Below are 26878 nucleotides of genomic sequence, written 5' to 3'. Positions count from 1 at the left end.
TTCACACTGTATGTGCATTTCTGTGTTCTAGAAAAGTAGAAGTTATGGTTTAAAATATTCCACCTACCTCACTCAAAGACTTCCAAGCGGAAGTTTTGAGACAGAAATGGAAGAGACTAGGGCGTGGAAGGAGCATAAAAATCTCATTTAGTTTTGAAGACATGGTAAAGGAGGCAAAGAGAAACACAAGGCTAGATTACAGCAAGAAATTGAAGCAGGAAAATGCAATTACATTTTTCCAAGAGAAGGAGAAACCTATGTTGGAGCAAATTGAATGCAGTTCTCTCATTGAACTTGATGCCCTCAGAACATTTTGTATACAGACACTTTTAGGTGCAATGCCTAATTTACAGTTGGTAACTACATACTTATTTGAAAAAAAAATTTATATGTGGTGTTTTATATCAGAATAACAAAACAGAAAAAAAGGAACTCCTGATAATATGATATTCACTCATTATTACTTCTACTGAACATTTTTTATAAAACATCCTAATATTTAACAACTATCATTAGTTTAAAGGCAAACAGAGTTAAAAGAAGACTAAAAAAAAAACTAAAAAAAGAAAAAGAAACAAAAACTCTCTATTACTTTGTCAACTTGGCATTCAGTAATCCTTAGGGGAAACTTGACTTCTGAATTTAACTTAATAGGAAATCCCCTATGAACCCTGTCATGGGAATAACTATTACAGAATTTGACATAAGTGTAGACAAGTGGGATCATTGCAGCAGAAAAGTCTATGGCAATAAATTTATTTTTCTTGACATAAGAAATCTAAGTTTGGTGATTACCAATTAGGCAGCTAGAGAAAGTCGATGGGACAGTAAACTTGGAGCATAATTCTCCCTAGGGTGGAGGGGATGGGAAACAATCTCCATTAATGTTGAACAACTTAAAAAACATATAAGAGCAATTATTATTAGACTACTCAAATCTTTATTTCAGTTTACTGAAATAATCATTTGTGTCATAAAAGATAATGAGTTGGGAAAACAATCAATACTTTTATTGAAAAAATTCAAAAGTTATGAAACTATATCTGGATAATGTCTTGTACAACAGCAAACACTGAAACAATTGCTTACAATAGTTTTAGTAATAATAAAGATACAAATAAACCTTATAGAATCTATATATTAGTTCAAATGCTGTTTTTGAATATGAATGAATTAAATATTGAAAAAATTGATCTGTGATGCAATAAAGCAGCAACCAAAATTATCAATTATTGTAACACTCAAGATAGTGAAAAACATCATCATGCTCAAATCTAACGTTCATGTAAGAAAGAAAGTGTACTTAATTTTTTACAGTGTAAACAACTAGAAATAAAAATGCTTGAATTAAAGTCTTATATCTGTTAAGAATTAAACAGTTTGAAATTTTCCTCCATATTCAAGCTACCAAGTTAGTCCACCCCTGATGCTTGGATGCTAGTGGAAGACATGAGATTCCTGGGCCAGAGGAAAGACAGTATTATTACTCACAGCAATAGCAGTAGCCAGAGAATCAGCAATTTATTAAATGGCACTAGGGTCCTAATCCCCAATATCCACTGAGTAAGCTAAAATTGTCAGGTGACATCTATGCATCAAGTAGGCTGCTAGAGAACCTGAAGATACTATTCTGCACAGCAAGTATGTTGGTCAATTGCTTCAAAGGGAGACACTCCATATTTTAAGACTGTTGACACATAGACATCCTTGAGAAGATATTCCAGAAAAAAAAGTTAGCCTCTGCTCATAAGGTGTGCAGAAATGTGAGAGAGTCATAGAGAACTGTTAACTAACAACAGTTGTTTATTCAACTAGTGTACTGTTTGTGCTAAAAAAATTAAAAATTAAATATTTTTCCTTTTATGAGTACATTTTCAAAAAATTATTATTTCTTTACTTTACCTTGTGTTAAACCAGCGTTCTAAACTTTTTGCCATTATAACCCTTTCCCCAAGGTGCCTTTTAAGAAAGTGTTTTCTTCATGTACTCTCATAAAATTTTAACACCACAGATGTAATGTATATTTCTTTATGTACTGTTTATGTATCTGTACTTTATATACAAAAAGAGCAATATTTTTCACACTTCGAAAAGCATTTTTTTGGTCTCATGTGGGCAATGTCACCCCTGTTCAGAAGGAATTTGGTATACTAATAAAAATTACTTATTATATTGTTTTGAAGTAATAAAAATTAAAGATGACATTTTAGTGAATTTCTATTCAATTCTGTGTTAACTATAATCGTTAGTCAAATAACTATTATTTATTCATGAGTAATCTCTATAAAAGTAATAAAGAAAGTATATTAGTTCACTGATTCTTGACAACTGTTCAATTAGAGGATATTACTTTTACTGTCACTTTTTAATTATGAAGAAACTGATGTACTGAAAATTTTCATATTTTCCAAATCCATACCCCAAATAAGTAGAATGTAAGAGCTAGGATCTAACTCAGGAAGGCTGATTCTGACCCCATAATCCCTAAATTATGTAATTGATCTCACAGACAAGAATCTCATGAGATTTTTTTCTTACCCAATCTAAATCTCAATCTTATATATCTGAAAAAAATATACATATAAATTACTCTAAAAAGATGCTTTTTCTTTCAAAACAATTATTTTAGAGCATCAAGAAGGCAAATAAACATCTACAAATAAGAGTGGAAGATATAACAAGAAGCCAAAAGCAAAGCAAGAATTAAGATTTATTAGACTTAATATCAAATTCTTTTTCTTTTTTTTCTTTTTCTTTTTTTTTTTTTTTTGTGACAGACTCTCATTCTGTCTCCCAACCTGGAGTGCAATAGCACAATCTCAGCTCATTGCAACCTCCACCTCCCGGGTTCAAGGGATTCTCCTGCCTCAGTCTCCCGCGTAGCTGGGATTACAGATGCCTGCCACCACGCTCGGCTATTTTTGTACTTTTTAGTAGAGACGGGGTTTCACCAAGTTGGACAAGGTGGTCTGGAATTCCTTACCTCAAGTGATCTGCCTGCCTCGGTTTCCCAAAGTGGGCGGGAGGCATCGCGCCCGGCCTTATTTTCAAATTATATGACGTACTATGACTTTTCTATGTTCTTCCTTTTCCTTGTAAGGAAATCTTTTTGACAAATTTTTCTCATTTATGCCATTGATGTATTCTTCTAAAAAGAGTTCTTTTCTCTTTGCAAATAGTAGCATTATTCCTTGAACAGCGTTCACTCTCTGTGTCTTTTAATCTCAAAATGTTATCACGACTAAAATTCTAAACAGATTATACACACACCACGAGAGATATATATTTTTAAAACTCTCATAGATTTTAAACAAAATTCAACAGTTCATAATTTTTATATAATTTCTGAAGCCTTTAATCCTTTTTTAGGAAGATTAACACATTTAAAAAATAAACATAGCCAACATGAGCATTTAGAGTTTAGCAGTAATTTTTCTACCCATAATTATCAGAACACTAAAATAAATAGCAATCTGGATTATTGAGACATTATTATATGGATAAAAAACCCACAGAAGCTTTTCCTTTTCTACTTCAGGTGTACATGAACACTTTTTACCCTTTTTAAATAATGACTGATTATACTTTTCCTCTATCTTGTGGTGATGAGTTTTGTTTTTTGTCTTTTATTTTTCTTTAAAGAAATGAGAGAAGAGGCATAAAAAAAATTTAAACAAAGAATCAGCATAGGAAAAGATGAAAAAGCCATGGAGAAAAATCTGACAGGAACTACTGTTAAAAAGTGTCTCAGCTGTCAGGGCTGACAGTGTTGAGAATCCCCACAGCGCACTGCATCCTCAGGAATGTCTAATAACAGTGATGGTGTTGGGCGGATCCAGATTGTTGGGCATTTCCTCATGGCAATAAGGCTAGTTAATGTACCTTTGGAAAATATGCATTAATTTTATTTTACTTACATTGTGAATGGCATAATACATACATAATAAGATACACACTGCATATGGACAGGGAAATAATACAAATAAAATAAATAATAATATACTCACCATCTAGCTGAAGAAATGGAATGTTATCAATATCTTTGAAAGGCTTCATGTTTACCAAATCCTCATGAAGTAATACAAAAGGAAGCTTACTGTAGAAAGAGTCATGGCACTTGCCAATCTAACTCTATAATTCTATTATTTCTTTAAAATCTGAAGGTCACAGATTTGGAATTGAAGTAAACTAGTATAAACAAAAATTTATAAATATATGGAAAACACTTTGATGGATGAAAACTAATAATTCTATAAACCATGAGAGACAGGCTATAAGACAGCACAGTTACTGTGTTATTAGGCCATAATTTGTGTACAAAATATAGATCTTGGTTAAACAAAAGAAATAAAAATGTTATATCCTAGAAGCCTAGCTCTCATGACACCGTATTTAGTAAAAGAAGGGAAAATACCGGTTGCAGGTAATAGAACACTGACTTCAAAATGAGTAGGACAGACAACAGCCTAGTGTTAACAGTTGTGGTTGAATTCAAGCAACTTGCAATTACAGAAACCCTAAACTGGCTATCCAATGAAGAAAAACAAGCATTCTATGTTACCATCATATACAGGAGCTGGAAAAAAATTAAACTCTTTGAGATAGAGTAGAGTGATAATTACCAGAGGATGGGAACAGAAGTAGGGAGGAGAAAATAAAGAGAGACTGGTTAATGGGGATAAAATTTACCATTAGAATGCATAAAATCTAGTGATCGATTGCACAATAGGGTGACTTTTGTTAACAACAATTTATTGTGTACTTAAAAATAACTAAAATAATAGAATTGGAATATTCCCAACACAAAGAAATGATAAATTCTTGAGGAGAGGGATATCCCAGTTACCCTGATTTAAACATTATACACTGTAGCCTGTATCAAAATATCACATCTACCCTGTAAATATGTCCAACTATTATGTATTCATAATAATAAAAAATAAAAATCCAAGTGTTCCAACCCCAGAGGTTATTTTGGATATACTGATAAAAGAAGAAGTACAGAAACAACTTATGCAAATGTGCTCTGTAAGCAGAGAAAAATCTTACTCTATAGAAAGAAATTATGCCTATTCCATTAAGTGTTATGTAGGAGAATGTAGCGTTCTACACTATAAATATAAATATACACAACAGAAGAGGAGGTGTTTGTGAAGATAGAGTCAGGAATTGGACTGCGGCAGCCACAGACCAAGTAATGACAGGAGGAGTTTAAAAAGGCAAGAACAGATTCTCACCCGGAGACTCCAGAGAAAGTACACCCCAGCCAACACCTTAATTTCAGCCCATTGATATTGATTTCAGATTTTTGCCTCCATAACTGTGAGACAAAATCTTTCTGCTGTTTTTAAGCCACTCAGTTTTTGGGAATTTGTTGTAACAGCCTCTAGAAACCAATGCAGATTTGGGCATAGAGTGTGGATACAGAGAAATAGCAAAGCTCTTTCACGAGATCTATTCAGAGAACATAACACTGCCTAATGGGGACAGCTGGTTAGAGGAAACTTGTTTTTTAATAAAGTATGTAACATTTTGTTCTATAATAACCAAGAGTCAAAATCTAGCTAGCACAATTAATAGTAGCTGAGCACCTCTTTCGTTATAATAGGCATACACTAACACAAGTCAGAAAAGTCTACAGAATCAGCAGATCAAGGGTAAAATTTCAGAGTTTGGAACCCAATTCTTAGGTCCATTCTGACAAGGGAGAAATTATGAGGCTTGGTTGCCATGGGAAGTGTTTCATGGACAGGTTTCAAAAAGTCAAGTATTCTTATCATTGTCAATGATACTTCAACTAGGTAAAAGTTTTTAAAAATCTAGTTCAAAATGATGGCAGAGGAGGAATAATTTAGCTGGGAAGCAATTAGCATTATCAAGTGAATAGATTGCTTGTCTTGTGACTTGCCCAGATTGAATAATGTGAGAATGCAAAACAGAATGCTAATACATGAACGAGGTAAAGCACGGAAGCAGCATACACTGGAAAACAGGGAACAGTAGAGTAATCAAACTGAGACACTGTATGAAGATGATTAGAAACAGTAAAAGGCAGGGAGACCCAGGGAAGAAGAATTTGTGAATAGCCATCTAAGACATGCTGCACCAATTGAAAGACACCTACCAAGAACTATAAATTACTGCTTATTTCATCCTTCGGGTCTGAAGTATATTCTTGGTCAGCTAGGAGTAAGAACGTTATCTTAGTCATTTCAGGCTGCTATAAGAAAACTACCATAGACTGGGTGATTTAAACAACTGAAATATTTCTTCACAGTTCTGGAGACTGAGAAGCCCAAGATCGAGGTGCTGGCCAATTCAATTCCTAGCGCGGACCCTCTCCTGGTCTGCCTTCTTGCTGTGTCCTCACATAGCAGAGAGACAGAGAGGAAGCAAGTCCTCTAATACCTCTTCATATAAGGGCACTAATCCCACCATGAAGTTTCTACTTTTGTGACCTGAATAACTTCCATGGGTCTATCTCCAAATTCCACTGCAGTGGGGATTCGTGAATGCATATATAAATTTTGGAGGGACATAAACAGTGAGTCCATAGCAATTGCAGGTTTAATTTTGACAGGCTAAGCCTGTCAGCTTTTTCCAGATAATCCAGGCATAAAAGAAAATTTACGTGTATATCTGAGTTTAACATATCTTGGTATAGAGTCTAATTTACACCCTTAGTTTTCAGTACCACCATCTTCATTACGTTTTGCTTTAAATTTATTTTTAATAGTGAAATTTCTATATGTCTTAAAGTGATAAGCATTTTATAAGGAGTGATATGTATATATATCATTTTATAAAGAGTGATATATACATATCACATACACAACAGAAATGGAGGTGTGATACATATATAACTCCTTATAAAACATGTATCAGGTTGGTGCAAAAGTAATTGCAGTCTTTTCCATTGAAAGTAATGGCAGAAACCAGAACTGCTTTTGCACCAACGTATATATGTGATTTACTGAACAAATATTTTGTTCCTGACTTCTCTTTAGTAAGCATTTCTGGAGCTGACATTCTGCAATCTCTTTAAGAAACTAACAAAATTAACATGCACATAAGTTATATGTGTAAAATATTTTAGATATGAATGCATGCTACAGAAGTGAAGAAAGTAGGTAAGAGGAAGAGTGAGTTCTGGTGTGAAATGGGAGGTGAGGGCAGGTACGTTCGGTTCTTTTAAAAGTGTGCAAAAGAAATATTTTCAAAAGATGACATTTTAGCTCACCCTTGAAGGAAATGAGTTAATCCATGCAGTTCTCTAGAGACGAGCTATCTAACCAGGAGCAATAGTTCAAGGAAAGCACTGGGTTTGGAGGGGCTGCTGGGAGGCCAGGATGGCTGGATTGGAGAGAGCAAATAGAGAAAGGCAGTGGATTAACTCAAAGATGCAAAAGAAATCAGAGCTTGTGAACATCGTAGGGCTTTGGTTTTTAATCTGAATGAGATTCATTCTTGGAGTATTTGAGCCGAGAAATAACATGATGTAACCAGGAAGGGTAAAATTGTTATTCCCATCAGGCCAGATCCAGAACTACAAAACAAATAAAAAATATGCCACCTACATTAATCACTTGTTCATTCTGGAAAATATTTCTTTAAAAGAAACATTTTTGTTTCTCCTCACTCCCACCTCATTCTTTTCAGTTATTACTTGTGCTTATTTTTAGCTTCTAAAATATTTAATTCAAATTTCACATGTTGATACTTCTTAACACTCGAATATAATGCAACAAAGACATGATATTTTGGCACTATTGTGTCAACATACAAATAGTATTTTACACTATTTTACAATAATTTACCTCTATTCCTGCGTTGAAACTCTGTCAATGCATGTGTTTGTCATCAGATAATACCTAAAAACTAAATATATTCATTTTTTGATTTTATAAAGTAATCAATACTTTGCTCTCTGAATAGTTAACATGTATGTAACAAGATATTAAAAGGGAAAAGAAAACAATTCCTTATCAATAAATCATATGGCACTCAAATTAGAAAATGTATCCTGTATTGTCATAAACTATGTATAACCAAAAAATTAGACTCATAGGAGTTTTAACCTAATTTGATCGATGAGTAATCATATCTTTGTTCAAAGATAACAATCATAAAAAAGTCAGCTCATTTATGCATTTTGCATAGAAAATAACTTTGAAGTTTTGATTCGTTTTCATAGTTTATAAGATTTATCTCGAGTAAATAAATTTTTCTATCAAAACAAATCCCCAGGCCAAAATAAAACCCAGTGTTCACTTGTCAGGAAGACATCCATTCCTATGAGAAAAACTGCTGAATTTTCAATGTGCTTGATTGTACTATTTTCAGATCACACATTGACAAGCATTTTGCCCTGAAGATGGTATGGTCAAGCCTGCTTAAAATTCATAATTTTTTTTTTCTCCTTACCAAATGAAGAGCTCAGCATTGAAAATTTTATGTAGGTTAAACAATCCCCCCAAAACACTTTTAGTGTTACTGGAACCCTTGTTATCATGCAACCTGAACAACTTTGACAACTATTTCTCTACTTACCAGAATCTCATTACTATGAACCATGGTACACCATTTAATTTAAGATCTGCAGACAGTGTTGTTTTCTTGCACATGAACTTTAACTTTCCTTGTCAACTTGTGGAGTTGGATACATTGATTGGGAGTTAATCTTTTATACTTTCCTGTAAATATATACACCATTATAAAATATTGATCTGTATCACTGATTTTTAAATATTCAAATGGGATTGTTATAAAGTTTAAGCCTTTCATCATATAAGTAATGCTGTCATCCAAACTTAATAGTGTAAACTCTTATTTTAAAGTTAAATATTATAAATGCTGTGTAAGAGGTGCTTTTTAGCTAGCTTTGCAGATCCTAAGACAGAATCTGTCTTTTATATTGAAAGGGAGTTAGTCAACTAGTTTATGTTTCAAATATGAACTACAAGAGAATTTGATACATTGTGAAGACTAAAGGCTAAAATTTTGGATCACACTCTGGAAACAGAATTTTCTAGACCATATACATTAAAATGTTTATTAGTAAGCCTATATGTATGCATCTACTAATAAGATATACAGCATAGTACTACAGAAAAATATATTTTACCATCTGTAAAGAATCCCTGTGAGAATCTCTGGTCAGTATGGTTTAGAGCAGGGATCAAAACTCAAATATTCATATGTTGAACCTAAAGGAATAGCGTGTCCAGAATGAAACAGTTGCAATAGCAGTGATTGTGTTTCATCTAAAGCGAACAGCCTTTTGTACCATCCAGAAAAAGTCTGGATTTTCCAAAATTTTTCTATTCTTCAAGTAAAGCCATAACTCCTATTTTAAAATTGAGCAAAATTCTTGGATTAATTTTCTCTGGCTGTATAACAAATTACTTAGTGAATTAAACACCACTCATTTATTAGCTAATAGTTCTGTAGGCCAGAATTAACTGGTTCATCAAAGTTATTTGCTTAAGTTTTTCTAAGGCTGAAATGAAGATGCTGATAAGACTAGACTAATGTAGAGAGGATGTGAGGAAGAGTCTTCTGCAAGGCACAGTTAAGTTGATAAAATTCATTGTTTTATGTTTACAGTACTGAAGTCCCTGTTTCTTTGCTGACTGTCAGCTGGGGATTGCACTTGGCTGCTGGAGGACACTTGTATCTTTCATCACACGGCCCTCTCCATGTACAAACAAGCAACAGCAGGTAAAATACTTCTCACACCTGGAGTCTCTTTGACTTTCTCTTTTGCTACCAGCCAAAGAAAGCCAGAAAGTTTAACATTCCTTTTAGAGGGCTTCCGTGATTTGATTATGTCCACTCAGTTAATCACACTATTAATTAAAGTAGAGAGTTAACGGACTAGCAACCTTAATTACCTTTGAAAAAATCCTCACATAGAAAAGATTCCTTTTGTCATTTAAGGTAATGTATAATCATAACTCCAATATCCAACATACTTTAATTCCAGAATTAGGTGGGGAATCTTGGGGAAATGGTGCTATATCAGAATTCTGCCTACCGCAATTCCCTAAGACATTGTGGGCCAAGCCAAAAATTTTTTCATAGGATGTATAGCTATTATTTAGACCTCAGCGAGCACAATTTTTGTTCTGGTCCAACCTGGATCTCACTCAGTGTAGAGATGCCCTGGTTCTTGCCCAACATCATTCTGTTTTTAGAATGTTTAATATTTCATTTCTGAATTTACAATCTAAATCTTCACATGGTTGATGACCAGTTATGTTTCTTAAGTATAACGTTCTTTTTTTTTTTTTTTCTTAAGAATTATTACACTGAGATATGCTGGCAAAGAGCTGGCAGCATGTACTTTCGAAAATTCTGAGAATGGATGTGGCCTCTTTCTTTGATTTGCCCATTGTGTGTACAAAAGCAATAATTAATTTACTTGTGTTTTCTGCCCTGCTGCTTTGTTCTTCTGCTCAATGAGAACTCTTACAATGCATTTGAATTTTAACATAAAGGGTTACTTCTGATTTAAAACTTAAGCAAAAATAGATTTTCCTTCTCTCTCAACTTTTCACAACCTTCACCGTCTGTAGTTGTCCTTGTCTACTACTTCACAGAAAAAGGAAAAGACAAAAAAAAAAAAAAAAAGTAATAGTCCATCAATTGGGGCTACCTTCAACTCGCTAGCAGCAAGTTTTTGTCTCTCCCTACATTTCCCACTTATAATGACAGGCACTGTCCTACTCTACAGGTAAAAAACTATGGCCAAAATAATAATGCTTATCTCATTCCTTCAGAGGCTGCAGAAGAGGGAAAACAATAAATAAACTCTGTGTGTATAACATGAGCTTGGGTAAGTATATGTAGAAAATAGATAAGAAAGCAGGAAGAGAATGATAAAGTGTTATCAACGTGGGATGAGGAGGGTTGCTCTTCAAAGGTTGGTGTTTAAGAAAGTCCTCCCTAAGACAGTGTTAATTGGGAAAAGACTTGAAGGCAATGAGGGAAACAATCAGCCACATTGGGGAGGAAGAGAGTTTGAGTCAGAAAACAGCAAGACTAAGGCTGTAAAGTTAAAGCATGTCTGATGTATTGGAGGAACAGTTTGGAGGGCTGTGTGGTTACAACATACGTGAAGAGAGAAGAGGAGAGTAGCAGAAGTCTAGATCTGCAAAGTACAAGCAGGGCCTTGCATGTCAAAGTAAAGACTAGTTTTTAATTCTCAGTGAAATAGGAAATCATTTGTTGATTTCGATCAGGCAATATGTTCTGACTTTAATTAATTAATTAATTAATTTTTTACTGTATGAAAGCAAAGTGGTATATGAGAGTTTTGTAACTCTTTTTTTTTTTTAATTTTTACTTTAAGTTCTGGGATGCATGTGCAGAACGTGCAGTTTTGTTACATAGGTATACACATGCCATGGTGGTTTTCTGTACTCATCAACCAGTCATCTAGGTTTTAAACCCCGCATGCATTAAGTATTTGTCTTAATGCTCTCCCTCACCTTGGCTCCCACCCCCTGACAGGCCCCAGTGTGTGATGTTCTCCTCCCTGTGTCCATGTGTTCTCATTGTTCAACTCCCACTTATAAGTGAGAATATGTGGTGTTTGATTTTCTGTTCCTGTGTTAGTTTGCTGAGAATAATGGCTCTCTCTGGGTGCTCTGTTGAAAGTTCACTGTAGCAGGCAAAAGGTGGCTAGTTGGGCACCATGGTGATTAGCCAGGCACTGTGCTAGTCTCTATTTCTGTCAAGTTTTTGGTAAAAAAATATGTGAAAAAAAATTATAACCTGGGTTTAAAATGTCAATACAAAAGAAATAACTGTAAATATATATATTTACATACATTTTATATATAAATATATATGTAGAAATATATATACATATTTGTAGAAATATATATACATATTTATATATGTATATACATACACATACAAACTTTGAATTTTTATGGCCCAGTATTAAATTTTATATTTCTAGGTTGAAATATAGAATTACAAGAAGTGACAGAATATGAAACTCCAAAGTGTCTTATTATACTTAAACAGAAAGTCACATATGAAGTTTATCATTGTTAGAGTGGGTTATCCCAATACCAATATTTTGGAAGATAAGGATACTTTTCAAGACTGAGATTGACTTGACATTCCAGTAATCTTTTAACTATTTTATAAATATAGATGAACACTATCTACATACCCAATGCCAATAACTTAGTGCAGGACAACAATTCTTGATTAAATTACTATTTAACAAGCACCTAACTGGGCTTTCTGTCACACATTTACTTTTGAAACAGCAGAGAGAATAATCCTTCTAAACCCTAAATAGCACACTATTTATAATTTTTTAATTTTTAATTTTTATGGATATACGATAGTTGTACATATTTACACATTACATGTACTATTTTTATACAAGTATACAATGTATAATAATTGAATCAGGGTAACAAGGATACCCATCACATCAAAAATTGGTCATTTATTTGTTTTGGGAACGTTCCAAGTCAGATCATTAATGCTCATGTTTCTTTTCCATGCATAATTTCACAATCTTTTATGACCCTCTCTATACCTTCCCTGGTAGTACCTATTATAATAAAATAAATCACTTAATTTAAATTATTATTTTTGTTGAAATATATAAGTTCATGAACGAAATGTGTTAAGCATGTTATAATGGTTTTGGCTAGCACAAATTAGAGTGTGCATTACATATAGATGCATCATGTTAAAGCATCTAATTACATACAGATGTGTAGATATTCTAATGCGATAGGTATAAAATTATAAAATTATTTGCTTATGCCATTTGGAATTACGTTTACACAGTGAGCCAAGATCATGCCACTGCACTCCAGTCGGGGCAACAGAGCGAGACTCCGTCTCAAAAAAAAAAAAAATACATTTACATCTCTTTATCTTTTAAGAGTTATGTATATAGTTTTTCAAACTGAATACTAAAAAAAATTAAAAAATATTAGAGAAAACACTAGATTAAAATCAAGTGCATTTTAAGTATGCTGGGTTGAAAATATGTACCCCAGGAAGCTGATTCTAATACTAGTTCACTATAAAATGAACAATATGAAGTTGACCCCTTTTAGATCACATTTAGGAGGGTTGGTTACTAATAAAACAAATTGTCATCATTATGGCTTGGCTTCATCTGTGAAATTTGGAAGACAGCTTTGAAATCCGGCTCTGCTGCACTTTCTAATTCACTGAAAACCACTGTGGGTTTATTTCTTCAGAGACATTGCTCATGTCTACATAAAGCAAGTATAGCTGAGCTTACTCTATTACAGAGTCTTGGAACAAATGGTTGTGACCCACATAACTTGCATTCTATTCTCTTTTAGAAACGTATATAATTTCTCAAGGGATCTTGTGAAATGCTGTGGAGTGCCAAACAGTATTACATGTCTAGGTGATAAAGGCTGAAGGTTGATACAGAAATATATAAATACACAGATATTATGGGAAGAGAGAAAGGGCATTTGAGGTCACTTTGGGGTGGTGAGAGTGCCGAGTTGAGCAGCCATGCTGGTCACCCTGATGCCATGTCACTTGCTTCATTGTCTCTATCTGAAATAAGGAGGTTGGTTTGATTGTATTGGGATTAACAGCTCATCATAAAACTAGAGATCCAAAATTAAAACTTTAAAATCAGATGCATATTTATTAGTATACTATTCAATTTTCTGTATGTTATGAGAAAGTTATTTTTTCTCAAACCTATATATAATACGCTAATTCTGAAATAAATTTACAAAAGAAAATAATTATTTGGATGTTATATTTTAATTTGTAACTGTATATATAATATCTCACTATCTGAAAACATCTTTTTAATTGTAGCACCTATAAATGGACCTTTTACTTTTTATCTTTATCAGTTGCATTAAATTGGGTTATACATATTTTACATTGAATGTCATTATATGCATAAATAGGTAAGATAGGTAGATAGGAATAAAATGGAAAATAATATAATCGAAAATTATAAATCACTGCAATATCTTCACTTTGAATTTCTGCCGTGCTCCAAAATGGTTCACCACAATGTTCACATTCTAGGTATCAGAATGAAGGAAAAGAGGATGTGAAACCACTGTTATTTCTTAAAGATCTGCCAAAGTCTGTTGGTTCCATTATTTGGGAGATAATCCTATGACAAAGAACTCTGGGATATACAGTCTTTACTCTGTACAAAAATGTAATCAGCTAAATTGCAACACTTAATTGCTAAGTCTGAAGAAGAAAAGTGGTGGATATTTGGGAATATCTTCAGGCTTTGCATAGACTATGTGCACAGATTGATGAGGATAGTATGACAATTAATAGTTTTGGTAAAATACCAAATACAGAATTGAAAGAATTTAAGTAAAATGTGCAATAATCCAGGATCATTAACTTCTTTCATTTAATAATCAATAACCTTTGTTATTTTTCTTCTCTCCTGTAAGAATGCCTATTCACAGATATTATACTTGCTCGGTAATTTATTATTGTCACTTAATATTTTGCTCATATAGTTGTCTTTTTTTCCCATCGTCCTAAATTTTAGGGAAATACTTAAGTTAGCTCTTCCAATTAATGGTTTTAATCTAAGCAGTTCAATATAGAAAGAAAATAAGTTATTAAAAATTGACTTTAGCACAAGTTAGTTGGATTGGAAAAATATATCCTTAGGGAACAAAGAAAACAAATATTAATTTAACCACAGATTTTTGAAGGTCGCAAACAAACTTTAGAGTGTCAATTTAACTAAATCCAACAAATGGTAAGATGTCTCCCATGAAAAATATAATGCATATCAGTTATAAGAAATAATTTGAATAAAAGTATTAAGTTGTGTGGATATAGTTTGTATCCATAAAAATATTGCAGTGTGAATAGATAAAAGAATTTATGAAAAAGTGGTGGAAATAAAAGGCCAAATAGTTGATTTATAATCAATTTCTATGGACATTGAATTTAGTGATCCCAATGGTTTGAACATTTTTACTTAGATAATACTGAGTTAATGACAGAAATATAAATAAGACAGTTGAGAGATAGGAACTACCTGGATTTATACTGCTAAGTCCCACTCAGTGTGGAAGTTGTGGTGTTTGAAGAAAAGAGTAGAGCCTGGAAAGCAGAGACTGATCAAGCAAGAATAGATGAAGACCTCAGCAAGACTGTGTTTTGGAATGAGAGGCAAATTGGGAAATAATTAATAGTTTACACATTGTATACAGCTGCTGAAAGACTATTGGTCATTATAAATGGCTCTAAAGTTAATCTTAAAGAAAAATATCAATAATAGCAGTAATTCTATAAAAATGTATTTAAAAGAGCATTTTGAGAGATCTTTCTAATCTAGTAAAGATGTAGAATAAGACATGGATAAAAGGGTAGATGAAAAACATCTTAACAAAAACATCAGAAACTTTCCATTATTATAAGTTGTTACTGTAGCTGATGGAAAAGTGATACACATTAAAGTCTATCAGTAATGTATTCTTAGTGTTTCATTATTTTGTATGTTTATCAGCAATTTTTAGCAATCTGTATTGGCAAAGAATAAATATTAAGATATCACAATCATCTTAAAAAGCTTAGAGTAACATTCACTGATTGTTGTTTCATTTGACAATATAGCATGAAGTTTCTATTAACATTAGTAATGTCAAACTCTTTTGCAGACAGATGAGATAGCAATATGTATTTAATGATATCTTGACAGTGTATTGATGATTGTATTGCAACATTTATATGGAGAGATAAGTATATTTTTATCTGCTGTCAGATGAAACCAGTGGAGAAAAATGTGCTTGAAATGTTTCACTGTTACTTTGTATGTCTTTGACATCAAGATTGAGAACAGCAGATTTAGTGAATAATAGCCTTTTATATTTTAGATGTTTATAAGGAAATGTATGATTAAATTAAGTTTCCCAGAGCTTGTTTCTTCAAGCAAAATAAATTATCTATTGCTGGATGTCTGTTGACACAAATATGAAGTCATAGTTATGGTTATATACTTATTTGCACATACCTTCTCCATTTTAATGGTATACAAATGATGTGATAATCTTATATACAGTAGTGGTACAAAAATAAGAAAGGTAAAATTGGCAAAGTGCAATCAGCAACAATGGCCACTCATGGAAATGATAAATTAGTATAATTTTATTCTAAAATTCGTTAATGAATTATACTTTATAAACACATTTTTATAAAAATTTTGTCATTTGCCATTGACATTTTAACAGTAATGCTAGAATTTCAGATAATTTTATTTTGTCAGTGAATGAACAAAGCATTTGGCGTATCAGAAAAGTTAATTCAATTGTAAAAGGAGTTGCCATTTATTTTAGTTGGGAATTGAATATTTCTGTCTTAGTTATTCATAAAACCTTGTACAAAATATAGTAAAAATTCAAAACAAACATAATAACTCAATGATATATAATCTACCTCAAACAGTTGGTATTTATTTAAGTATATTTTCTTCAGCATTGTAATTGGTAGATAGGTCTGCTGAGTACATAATTTGCCCCAAAATTTAATCATAGTTCTTTCAAACACCAAAGTTAAAAATGACTGCATTTTTCAAAATTCATTTAGGTCTCACTGAATTTTATCAAGCTTTTAATGTAGTTTACCATAATAAGTATAGTAAAATGTAAAGGCAGTAATCTCTAAAAATCTGAAATAGAAATATCAACACAAAATCTACTAAAGATTGAGAAAACAAGGAAATTTAGTTCTGAATTCAGCACAACGTAAACTTGAGCAACAATATTTATTCTCTGAGTTTTTAAAGCAAAGCATAAATAATAGTATCTTATATGTCTAACACTGAACAAAATGAAATCATGTCCAGTTCCCACGAATGAAATCTTCAAAGTATGCCTCAACTCTAAACAAATTTGTCCTCATTCTCTCGTTTCACAAGAGCACCAGCCACCAACATCTGCATGTGGACTACTGAAGTTGCCTTCCAGGTAGTCTTCTCCTTTCAATTTTAAGTACAGTCATGTACTGCAAAATGATGTTTTGGTCAAGGACAGACAACATATAGGAGAGTGGTCCCATAAGGTTGTAAAATCATATTTTTACTGTAAACTTCCTATATTTAGATGCACAAATACTCATCATTGTCTTAAAATTGCCTATAGTACTCAGTGCAGTAATATGCTGTACAGTTTTATAGCCTAGGAGTGATAGACTATACCATATGGTCTAGATGTGTGAGGGGCTATGCTATCATGGTTTGTGTAATTACTCTATGATGTTTGCTCAATATAGAAATCACCTAATGATTCATTTCTCAGAACATACACCAGTGGTTAAGAGATAGATGACTATATTCTTCCACATACACATAATACGTTCTTCACACAGAAGTTCAATTCTTTAAAACTGACATTTATTATATACTTTTTTTCCCCCAGAAAACCTCCAATGGCTACCCAAAACTCTCTAGAATAAAACATGGACTTCTTACTCTAAACTGTATGTCAATACGTTAACTGGTTATTGAACATACTATGACTTCTTTAATACTTTTCCCATCTTTTTAAAAATTCGGTTCACAATGACCTTTCTACCACTTTCCAATACCTCATAAAAACTCCTAAAGCAAAGATTCAACATTTGCTTTTTCAGAAACAAAACATTCTTCATTCTGATATTTGAATACCTTGCTTGATTTTTTTTAATGTATGAAAGGTCAGAAGTCTTTTCTTTTCTCACCAACCTGTATTTAATAAAAACAACCTCAATCTTCCATTAATCTTTTTCTTTACCATAGTTAACTTTCCTACCGAGAATTCAATGCTGTCGTTGTCATATATTTATTGATTTTTAGGTCTCTCTCCACTGGAACTGTTTTTGTCTACTCTGATGGGTCCACTACATAACATAATATCTAACACATATTGAGAATGCAATACAATTTTAGCCAATAAATGAAATAAATTATAATTGACAAAAAATTTCTAGCACTTAAAACTGAGAAAATTTCTTGAAAGGATTTTATACAGAGAATTAAAATATTAATCAATATCTGCAATAATCTACCTGATAGAACAGTAGGTTTTATAGAACTCTTTACTTCATGTACTAATTTCAGAGAATAACTCAGGAAAATCAATCTATTCTGGGTGAAGCTTAAGCGAAGGACATGCAAAACAATGTGATCTAACTTGCAGATTTGTGGAATTCCGGCTTGGTCTTTGCATAATAAGTAAATTAGAAGAATAAATGATGATGCCCTTCATACACTGTCCTTAAATTTCTTTCAATGGGGCTTTTGATCAAAGTTTGGCAATAAGTAATCTGAGGTTACATTTTCTGCAAAGACTTGGGAGCTTTAAATATAGCATTAAACCTACACCAAGAAGTAAATGAATTATAAATCACATAAATATATATTATTTAAAATATGTCCAGAGTTTTGAAGTTTGAAATTGAAACTTAAAATGACTGCTATATTTTTAATTGTCTGCTGTGGTTGAAAGCATTCCCTGTAGATCTTAGCTGGCTTTTCAACTGCAAAGACACCTTTATATGAAAGAAAAATGTTACAAATGATGTAGAAGGGTGGAGTCACTTTAGACATTTCTTTATTCCGTGTTAGAACTGTTTCTGAATCTTTAATCTTAAAAGTCCCTCAAGATTTTTTCTAAAAGTGGAGTCTACAAATATGTTTGTCTAGAAATATTTTTTCTCAATTTAAAATTGATAGTAGAAAAATAAATATAAAATTAAAACACAGATTTTGTAAAAAATATTGTTCTGTCTGTCTTCGCCCATATACACTTATTCTTAATTCTTTTTTTTTTTTTAATATAACAAAGCCCAGGTCAGCATAGTGTTTATTATGATCTAACTTTTTTCTTATTGTGAGGAATGAAGAAGAGAGTTGTCATTTTTTTCCCCAATTGTCCTGTCTCCGGTATGGCTAAAGGTTAAGATAAATCATTGGAATTTATTCTGGCAGTTTAAATCATTATAATTTTGCATCTAGATTAGATAGAATATACAAGGTTTTCCTTATAGTAACTTATTTCTCTTATTAGGAAATTAATGCCATACAAAATTTATCAATATTTAATGACAAATCCCAGTAATAAAAATAAACAAATTGGGGTAATATATACTGAAAATACTGTAGATGAGTGATTTAAAATTTTAGGCAGTACTGACTTTAGGTTTTAGTCTTTGATAACTTGAAAATTTCTTAGTGTTTTAAGTACTAGTGATTTTAGTTAACAAACATATTAATGATCATATTGTCCACACGTTATATTTTAAATAGCTTTTTTGTTTGTTATGATGTGCAATAGAACATCACTTTCATCAGATGCATCATGAAAAAGGAGAAATTCTCTTTAAAAGTGGTAACGTGTAGGATATTTTTCTTATTCAAGATATTTGTGTACACATTAGAATATTAAATATTATGAAAAGTTCTATAGATATAACAAAATAATGCAATCTGAAAATACACAACCACTTAACATTTCACAGAAGTAATCTTGACTAGGGTGCAAAATATGAAATGCAAAAAAAGAATCTTCCTCTCACACACATAAGAAAAATTATACACACATACTTGCATAAAGCCTACTCTAAAAATACAAATCGAATATTGTATTCTAATAAATATATATACTTGAAATGTATAGCTATTAGTAAAATACCTACATTTTAAAGATTGTTAAATATGCATTCAATGTGCATCAGGTACTGTGCAAATTTCTTAAAATGTACATCTCAGTTTAGCTTCCTTACAGTTCGACTGGATGGAGGAACTGAGGCTTGGTGATGTAAGTTAACTTGGTCAAAGATATTCAGCTTGTTATGGTGGAGTGAGAATTGTTTGACACCATGTTTCAATTCTTAAAGATGACTATATCTTTTTTCTAAGATCCCAGGTAAATCTAAGTAAATTTGAGATAAGAAAACATCTGCCAAATTTAGACAATAAAAACTAGCAATCAATCATTCAGGTTACTCTTTCTCATGTTATCTCTTACTCTGATAATAAAAATCTAATTTCTGAAGCAAATGAAAAGAGAAAGAGGCATATTTTTATTTATTTATTTTATTGTAGTAAACTATATATAGCATAATATTTACCATTTTTAAGTGTACAAATCAGTGGCAAACTTTTATGCAACCATCACCACTCTCTATCTCCAGAACTTTCTCATCATCCCAAATAGAAATTTTGTGCACATTAAACAGCTTTCTATTTTCCTATACCCTAGTCTCAGGTAGCCACTACACCTTCTGTCTTAGAATTAGGCTATTCCAAGTACCACATATAAATGGAATTGTACCATATTTGGTTTTCGTGTCTGGCTTATTCTACCTATCATCATAATGTTGTTATGGATCATTTATGTTGTAGAATGTATCAGAATTTCATTCTTTTTTAATGCTGAATAATATCCCATTATATGTATACACCCATTTTGTTTATCCATTAATTCATCCTTGAATATTTAGGTCTTTTACACATTTTTTTATTGTGAATAATGTGTTACCTGTCTTTTACACATTTTTGTTATTGTGAATAATGTGTTACCTGGATTTAGAATTATCTGTTTAAGTCCCTGCTTTCAATATGTTTGGGCATATATTCAGAAGGGGAATAGCTAGATCATATGATAATTCTAAGTATAATTCTTTTGAGAAACAGTCATACTGTTACCCACTACAACTTTACCATTTTGTATTTTCACCAACAGTGCACAAGTGTTCCAATTTTTCCACATTCTCACTAGTACTTGTTATTGGTCTTTTAATTATAGCCATCCTAATGAGTGTAAAGTGGTATCTCATTATGGTTTGATTTGCTTTTCCTCAATGTTTTGTGATGTTGGACATTGTTTCATGAGCTTATTGGCTATTTATGTTTCCTTTTGGTAAAAATTTCAATTCAAACATTTCCCCATATTTAATCAGGTTTTTTGAGGGGTTTGTTGTTGCCATCAAGTTTGATAAATTCTTTATACATTCTCACATACATGATTTACAAATATTTTCTCCCATTCTACAGGTTGCTTTTTCCTTCTGTTGATAGTGTCTTTTCATGCACAAAAGTTTTACATTTTAATGTAGTACAATTTATTTTACTTTCGTTACCTGTGCTTTTGGTGTCATATCAAAGAAATCATTGACAAGTCCAATGTTATGAAGCTTTTTCTTATGCTTTCTTCTAACAGTTTTATAATTTTAGCTCTTATGTTTAGATCTTTGATTCATTTTTAGTTAATTTTTGTATAAAGTGTAAGGTAAGGGTCCAACTTTATTAGTTTTACATTTCAATACCCAGTTTTCCCAGCCCCGTTCATTAAAAAGACTGGTCTTTTCCTTTCAGATGTCTTAGTATCCTTGGCAAAAATTATTTTACATACGAATAAAGATTTATTCCTGGGTATTCTATTCTATTCTATATTTCCATATGTATATCTTTATGCTAGTACCACACTGGTTTGATTACTGTAGATTTTTAGTAAATTTTGAAATCAGTAATTGTGAATCCTCCAACTTAGTTATTTATTTTCAAGATTATTTCATCTATTCAGGGTCCCTTGAGGTTCTATATAAATTTTAGCATGAGTTTTCCTGCATCTGTCAAATTGTCATTAAGATTTTGACAGAGATTTCTTTGAATCTACAGATTGGTTTGGGTAATTTTGACATCTTAACAATACAAAGTATTCAAATAGTAATGAGAACAACCTGGAAATGTAGAAGCAAACAAATGAACAAAAATCTTTCCCCCAAACTGTCAGGAAGCCTAGAAACCAAAGAGTAACTTGGACAAGTCCAGCTTGGTGAGTAGATGTGTTTATTAGGAAGTACATATGAGGCACTCCTGCATGTTAGTAAAGTAGCTTTAGAGATCCATGTTGCCCTTTTCTCTAAACTACTTCTAAGCTAATTGGCTGGCTCTTTGATTTTCTTCATAGGTTGTCAGATACTTGTGGAGGTGTTCAAGTTCTCAGGAACACCTGCTACCCTGCTGAGCCCATGGCCTTTGTTCACTGCCCTTCTTACAAGGTTCAGGCAGTGGACATACACCGTTGACTAGTTAGGTGGAGGACCTGTCACACTACACATTTAATAAACAGAGGGTGCCATTCCATTCATTTATGTCTTTAATTTTTGCAACAATGTTTTGTAGTTTTCAGTGTTCAAATCATTTGCTATATTGGTTATATTTATTCCCAAATTCTTTTTTTGTTGCTCTTGTAAATGAATTTTGTGAAATTTCCTGGGTTGTCCATTGTTTATACAGAAAGGAAACTAATTTTTGGACATTGATTTTGTATCCTGCCACTTTACTGAGTCTAATTATTAGTTCCGTGTGTGTGTGTGTGTGTGTGTGTGTGTGTGTGTATCTTTAGGGTTTTCTACATGTAAGATCATCTCCTTTCTTGACACAGATAATTTCACTTCCTTCTCTCTAATTTGGATGTCTTTTAATTTTTTTTCTTGTATAATATCTCCTTTTAAAGTTGCTCATTTCAACTGTCATAGAAAAATCGGACAAACCTTTTTTCAACTGTTTCCCTAAATTTGGATGAGGCTCAGAATTCCTGAATAAGACATATATACATGTCTAAAGTGCTGGTGTTGTCTGATGGTTCCACGGGTTGCACAGGGAGTATGGTGATATGGTTTGGCTGTATCCCCACCCGAATCTCATCTTGAATTGTAACTCCCACAATTCCTACATGTCATAGGAAGGACCCGCTGGGAGGTTATTGAATTATGGGTGCGAGTCTTTCCTGTGCTGTTCTTGTTATTGTGAATGGGTCTCACAAGATCTGATGGTTTTAAAAACGAATTTCTTTGCACAAGCTCTCTCTCTTTGCCTGCTGCCATCTACGTTATGATGTGACTTGCTCCTCCTTGCCTTCTGCCATGACTGTGAGGCATCCAAGTCCAATAAAGCTGTTTCTTTTGTAAAATGTCCAGTCTTGGGTATGTCTTTATCAGCAGCATGAAAATGGACTAATGCATATGGCTACGGAGGCCTCATGGAGCTTTAACTCATGGGAGAAGGCAAAGCCAAAGAAGGCATCTTAGATGTCCAGGACAGGAGGAGGAGAGAGACTGGGGAGGTGCTACACACTTTTAAACAGCCAGAACTCATGAGAACTCTATCATGAGAACAGCACTAGGGGGCTGGTGCTAAATGATTAGAATCCACCCCCGTTATCCAATCACCTCCCATCAGGCCCCACCTCCAACATTAGGGAATACAATCTGACATGAGATTTGGGTGGGGACACAGATCCAAACCCTATCAGTTGGCAACCTGTGATTAACAGAAACACCAAGATTCTAGAAAGGGCTGTAAGAAGAGTGGTCTCCAGATTTGGGCTGCAGTTACCATGAGGATATTTGAGAAGTCCCTATCCCATGCAGATACCACATGAAGACTCTTAGAGTGAACGATGGGACAGTAGCATCTTAAAAACGTATCCTGCTAATCCAGTGAGAGCAAGTTTTAAGCATTCAGATTTGAATGATTCCATTAAATATGAGCAATTTGTAACCAATATGGTTACAAGTGAAGACTAATATATACCATTTGACGTTTACGAAGAAAAGACACTCTTAAGAAGAAACTATAGACGTTTTTCAAGAAAACTGCAAGATGTCCTAAAACTATAAATCTGATCCAAAGGCAATGTGAATAACATGAGAGTTTCTTCAGGGAAAATATTGAAAACACTCAATTGTAAGAAGCATGTTAATGCTAATATAGAAAATAATAGTGATAGCAGCAAACTGAGACTAACGTGGCAAGGGACAGCAGGCTGTAGTAATTTGGGCTGTTACTGCCACAAGAGACTAATGAGGGCATCTGTGACAACGTAGAAGACAGTATTGTTCAAGTAATGAGTCCACTGAGAAATCAATTAAATACACAAAACAATATTATCAAATAAAATAATACAGTGACTTCAAGATTTGATACAACTGGGAGTTGAATATGTATGTTAGATCCATAGCAGATAAATTCCCCTGTACAGATAAAAAGAAGAAAAGCAGAATAAATACAATGAAGAAAAGCAGAGGGCATATCCATATGATCCAATACCTATAAAATACAAATTTTATATAAGTATAATAGAAAGTACAATGCAAATAAAAGAAAGTAATTATCAAAATAAAATAAAAACAAATTAATGATTTTTTTTCTTTTTGAGATGGAGTCTCGCACTGTCACCCAGGCAGGAGTTCAGTGACGCGATCTCAGCTAACTGCAACCTCTGCTTCCCGGGTTCAAGTGATTCTCCTGCCTCAGGTTCTTGAGTAGCTGGGATTACAGGTGTGCGCCACCACGTCCAGCTAATTTTTGTAGTATAGATGGTGTTTCACCATGTGGGCCACCCTGGTCTCAAACTCCTGACCTCATGATTTGCCTGCCTCGGCCTCCCAAAGCCATATGTCATTGGTTTTTTGATAGAGATTGCACTGAATCTATACATTGCTTTTGGTAGTATGGACATTTAACAATATTGATTCTCCCAATCCATGAACATGAAATAGTTTTTCATTTTTTTGTTTCCTCTAATATCTAGCATCATTCATCTACAATGAATAGCATTAATTGTAGAGATCTTTCACTTATTTGATTAAGTTTACTTCCAGGTATTTATTTTATTGCTTTTTTTCAGATTGTTTGCTGTTGGCATATAGAAATGCTACTAATTTGTATATATTGATTTTTTGTTCTGAAACCACTGAATTTATTTAACAGTTCAAATGTTTTTTGGTGAAGTCTTTAGGTTTCACCAAATATAAGATCATACCATCTGCAAACAAGGATAATTTGACTTCTTTCTTTTCCGATTTGGATGTCCTTTCTTTTTTCTTTCTTTTCTTTCTTTTCTTTCTTTCTTTCTTTCTTTCTTTCTTTCTTTCTTTCTTTCTTTCTTTCTTTCTTTCTTTCCTTCTCTTTCTTTCTTTCTTTATCTAGTTGCTCTATATAGGATTTCCAATAATATGTTGGATAACAGTGGTGACAGTGGGCTTCCTTTTCTTGTTCCTGATCTTAGAGGTAAGGCTTTCAGTTTTTCACCATTCAGTGTGATACTAGCTGTGTGTCTGTCATATATTTCTTTTATTGTGTTGAGGTATGTTCCTTCCATACCAGTTTATCCATGGATTTTATCATGAAAGGATGTTGAATGTTTTGAAATACTTTTTTCAGCATCAATTATCATATGGTTTTGTCCTTCATTCTGTTGATAGGATGTATAATATTCACTGATTAGCATATGTTGAACCATCCCTGCATCCCTGAGATAAATCCCACCTGGTCACAGTAAATGATTTTTAAATGTATTTTGAATTTGGTTTGCTAATATTTTGTTGACAATTTTTGCATCAATGCTCATCAGAAATATGGGCCTTTAGGCTTTGTTTGTTTGTTTGTTTGTTTTGGTTAGTTTGTTTCTTGATTGCTCTTAGCCTGGCTTTGTTTTCAGGTTAATACTGGCCTCACAGAATAGATTTGGAAGTATTCCCTCCTTCTCTACTTTTTTTTGAATGATTTAGGTAGGATTGGCATTAGTTCTTCTTTAAATATTTGATAAAATTTAGCAGTAAAGCATTGAGTCTTGGGCTTTTCTCTGCTGGGAGACTTTCTATTATGACTTTAATCTTGCTATGTGTTATTTTTCTGTGAAGATTTTCAATTTCTTCATAATTTAATCTTGATAGGTTTTACGTGTCTGTGAGTTTATTGATTTCTTCTATGTTTTCCAATTATTTGGCACATATTAGGTAATAGCAGCCTGTAATGATCCTTTGAATTTCTGCTGTATTGATTGTAATGTCACCTTTTTCATCTCTGATTTTATTTACGTGGGTCTTCTATTTTTCTTAGTCCAGGTAACAGCTTGTTCATTTTGTTTATTTCTTAAACAAAACAACTATTTTTTCATTGATGTTTGTTTTGTTTTCTTCCTTTCAATTTCATTTATTTCTGTGCTGATCTTTATAATTTATTTTCTTGTACCAATTTTTCTTACACTAAACCAAGAGCTTGGTTTGCTCTTGGTTTTTTAATTCTTTAAGAGGCATCATTAGGTTATTTATTTGAAGTTTTTCTACTCCAAAGGCCTTTGTTGTCTTGGTAATATCCAGAAAATTCCCTGGTTTACCAGGCAGAGACTCTTCTCTTCCCTTAATTTCTCCCAAACAAATGGAGTCTCTCTCTCTCTCTCTCTCTCTCTCTCTCTCTCTCTCTCTAACTCTCTCTCTCTCTTTCTCTCTTTGTTGAGCTGCCTGGATTTGGGGGAGTGGTGATACAGGTGCCCCTGTAGCCACCACCACATGGACTGTGCTGGGTGAGACCCTATACAAGCACTATACTGGGTCTCACCAAAGGCCCCCAGTGACCACTCTAGGTCTCACTGAAGGTCCATGGTGACCACTTCTGGGCTACCGCCTATGTTCACTCAAGGACTTAGGGCTCTACAATCAGCGAGTGGCAAATCTAGCCAGGATTTGGTTCTTCCCTTCCAGGCAGTGAGTTTTTCCAGGCCCCGGGTGAGTTCAGAGATGCCGTCCAGGAGCCATAACCTGAAATTTGGAAACTTAGGAATCTACCTGCTGCTCTTTTCTACTGTGGCTGAGCTGACACCCAAGCCACCAGACTAAGTCCTTCCTAATCTTTCCTCTCCTTAAGCAGAGAAGTCTATCCCTGTGGCCACCACCACACCAGTCTCATGGCATGTACTGCCTGGCTACCTCTAATGTTTACTGAGGTCCAAAGTCTCTTCATTCAGCCTATGGTAAATGCCGACAGTCCCGATTCTTTCCTTTCAGGGCAGTTGACTTCTGTCTGGCCAAG

At 33.2% G+C, this 26878-nt stretch overlaps 1 annotated feature.

Annotated features, from left to right (window-relative positions):
• Window positions 13397-13588: a silencer, noted in NCBI's record as "fragment chr4:136746018-136746209 (GRCh37/hg19 assembly coordinates)". NCBI's record gives its function as "represses an EF-1alpha promoter that drives an FKBP-Casp9 reporter gene in an ReSE screen in phorbol 12-myristate 13-acetate-treated (for megakaryocytic differentiation) K562 erythroleukemia cells {active_cell/tissue: K562(+PMA)}" and the evidence as "EXISTENCE:reporter gene assay evidence [ECO:0000049][PMID:32094911]".

This window comes from Homo sapiens, chromosome 4, assembly GCF_000001405.40.
Source record: "Homo sapiens chromosome 4, GRCh38.p14 Primary Assembly".
In the NCBI taxonomy this organism is placed as follows: Eukaryota; Metazoa; Chordata; class Mammalia; order Primates; family Hominidae; genus Homo; species Homo sapiens.
The sequence above is the reverse complement of the archived record's forward strand: the minus strand, read 5'-3'. Positions and strand labels throughout refer to the sequence as shown.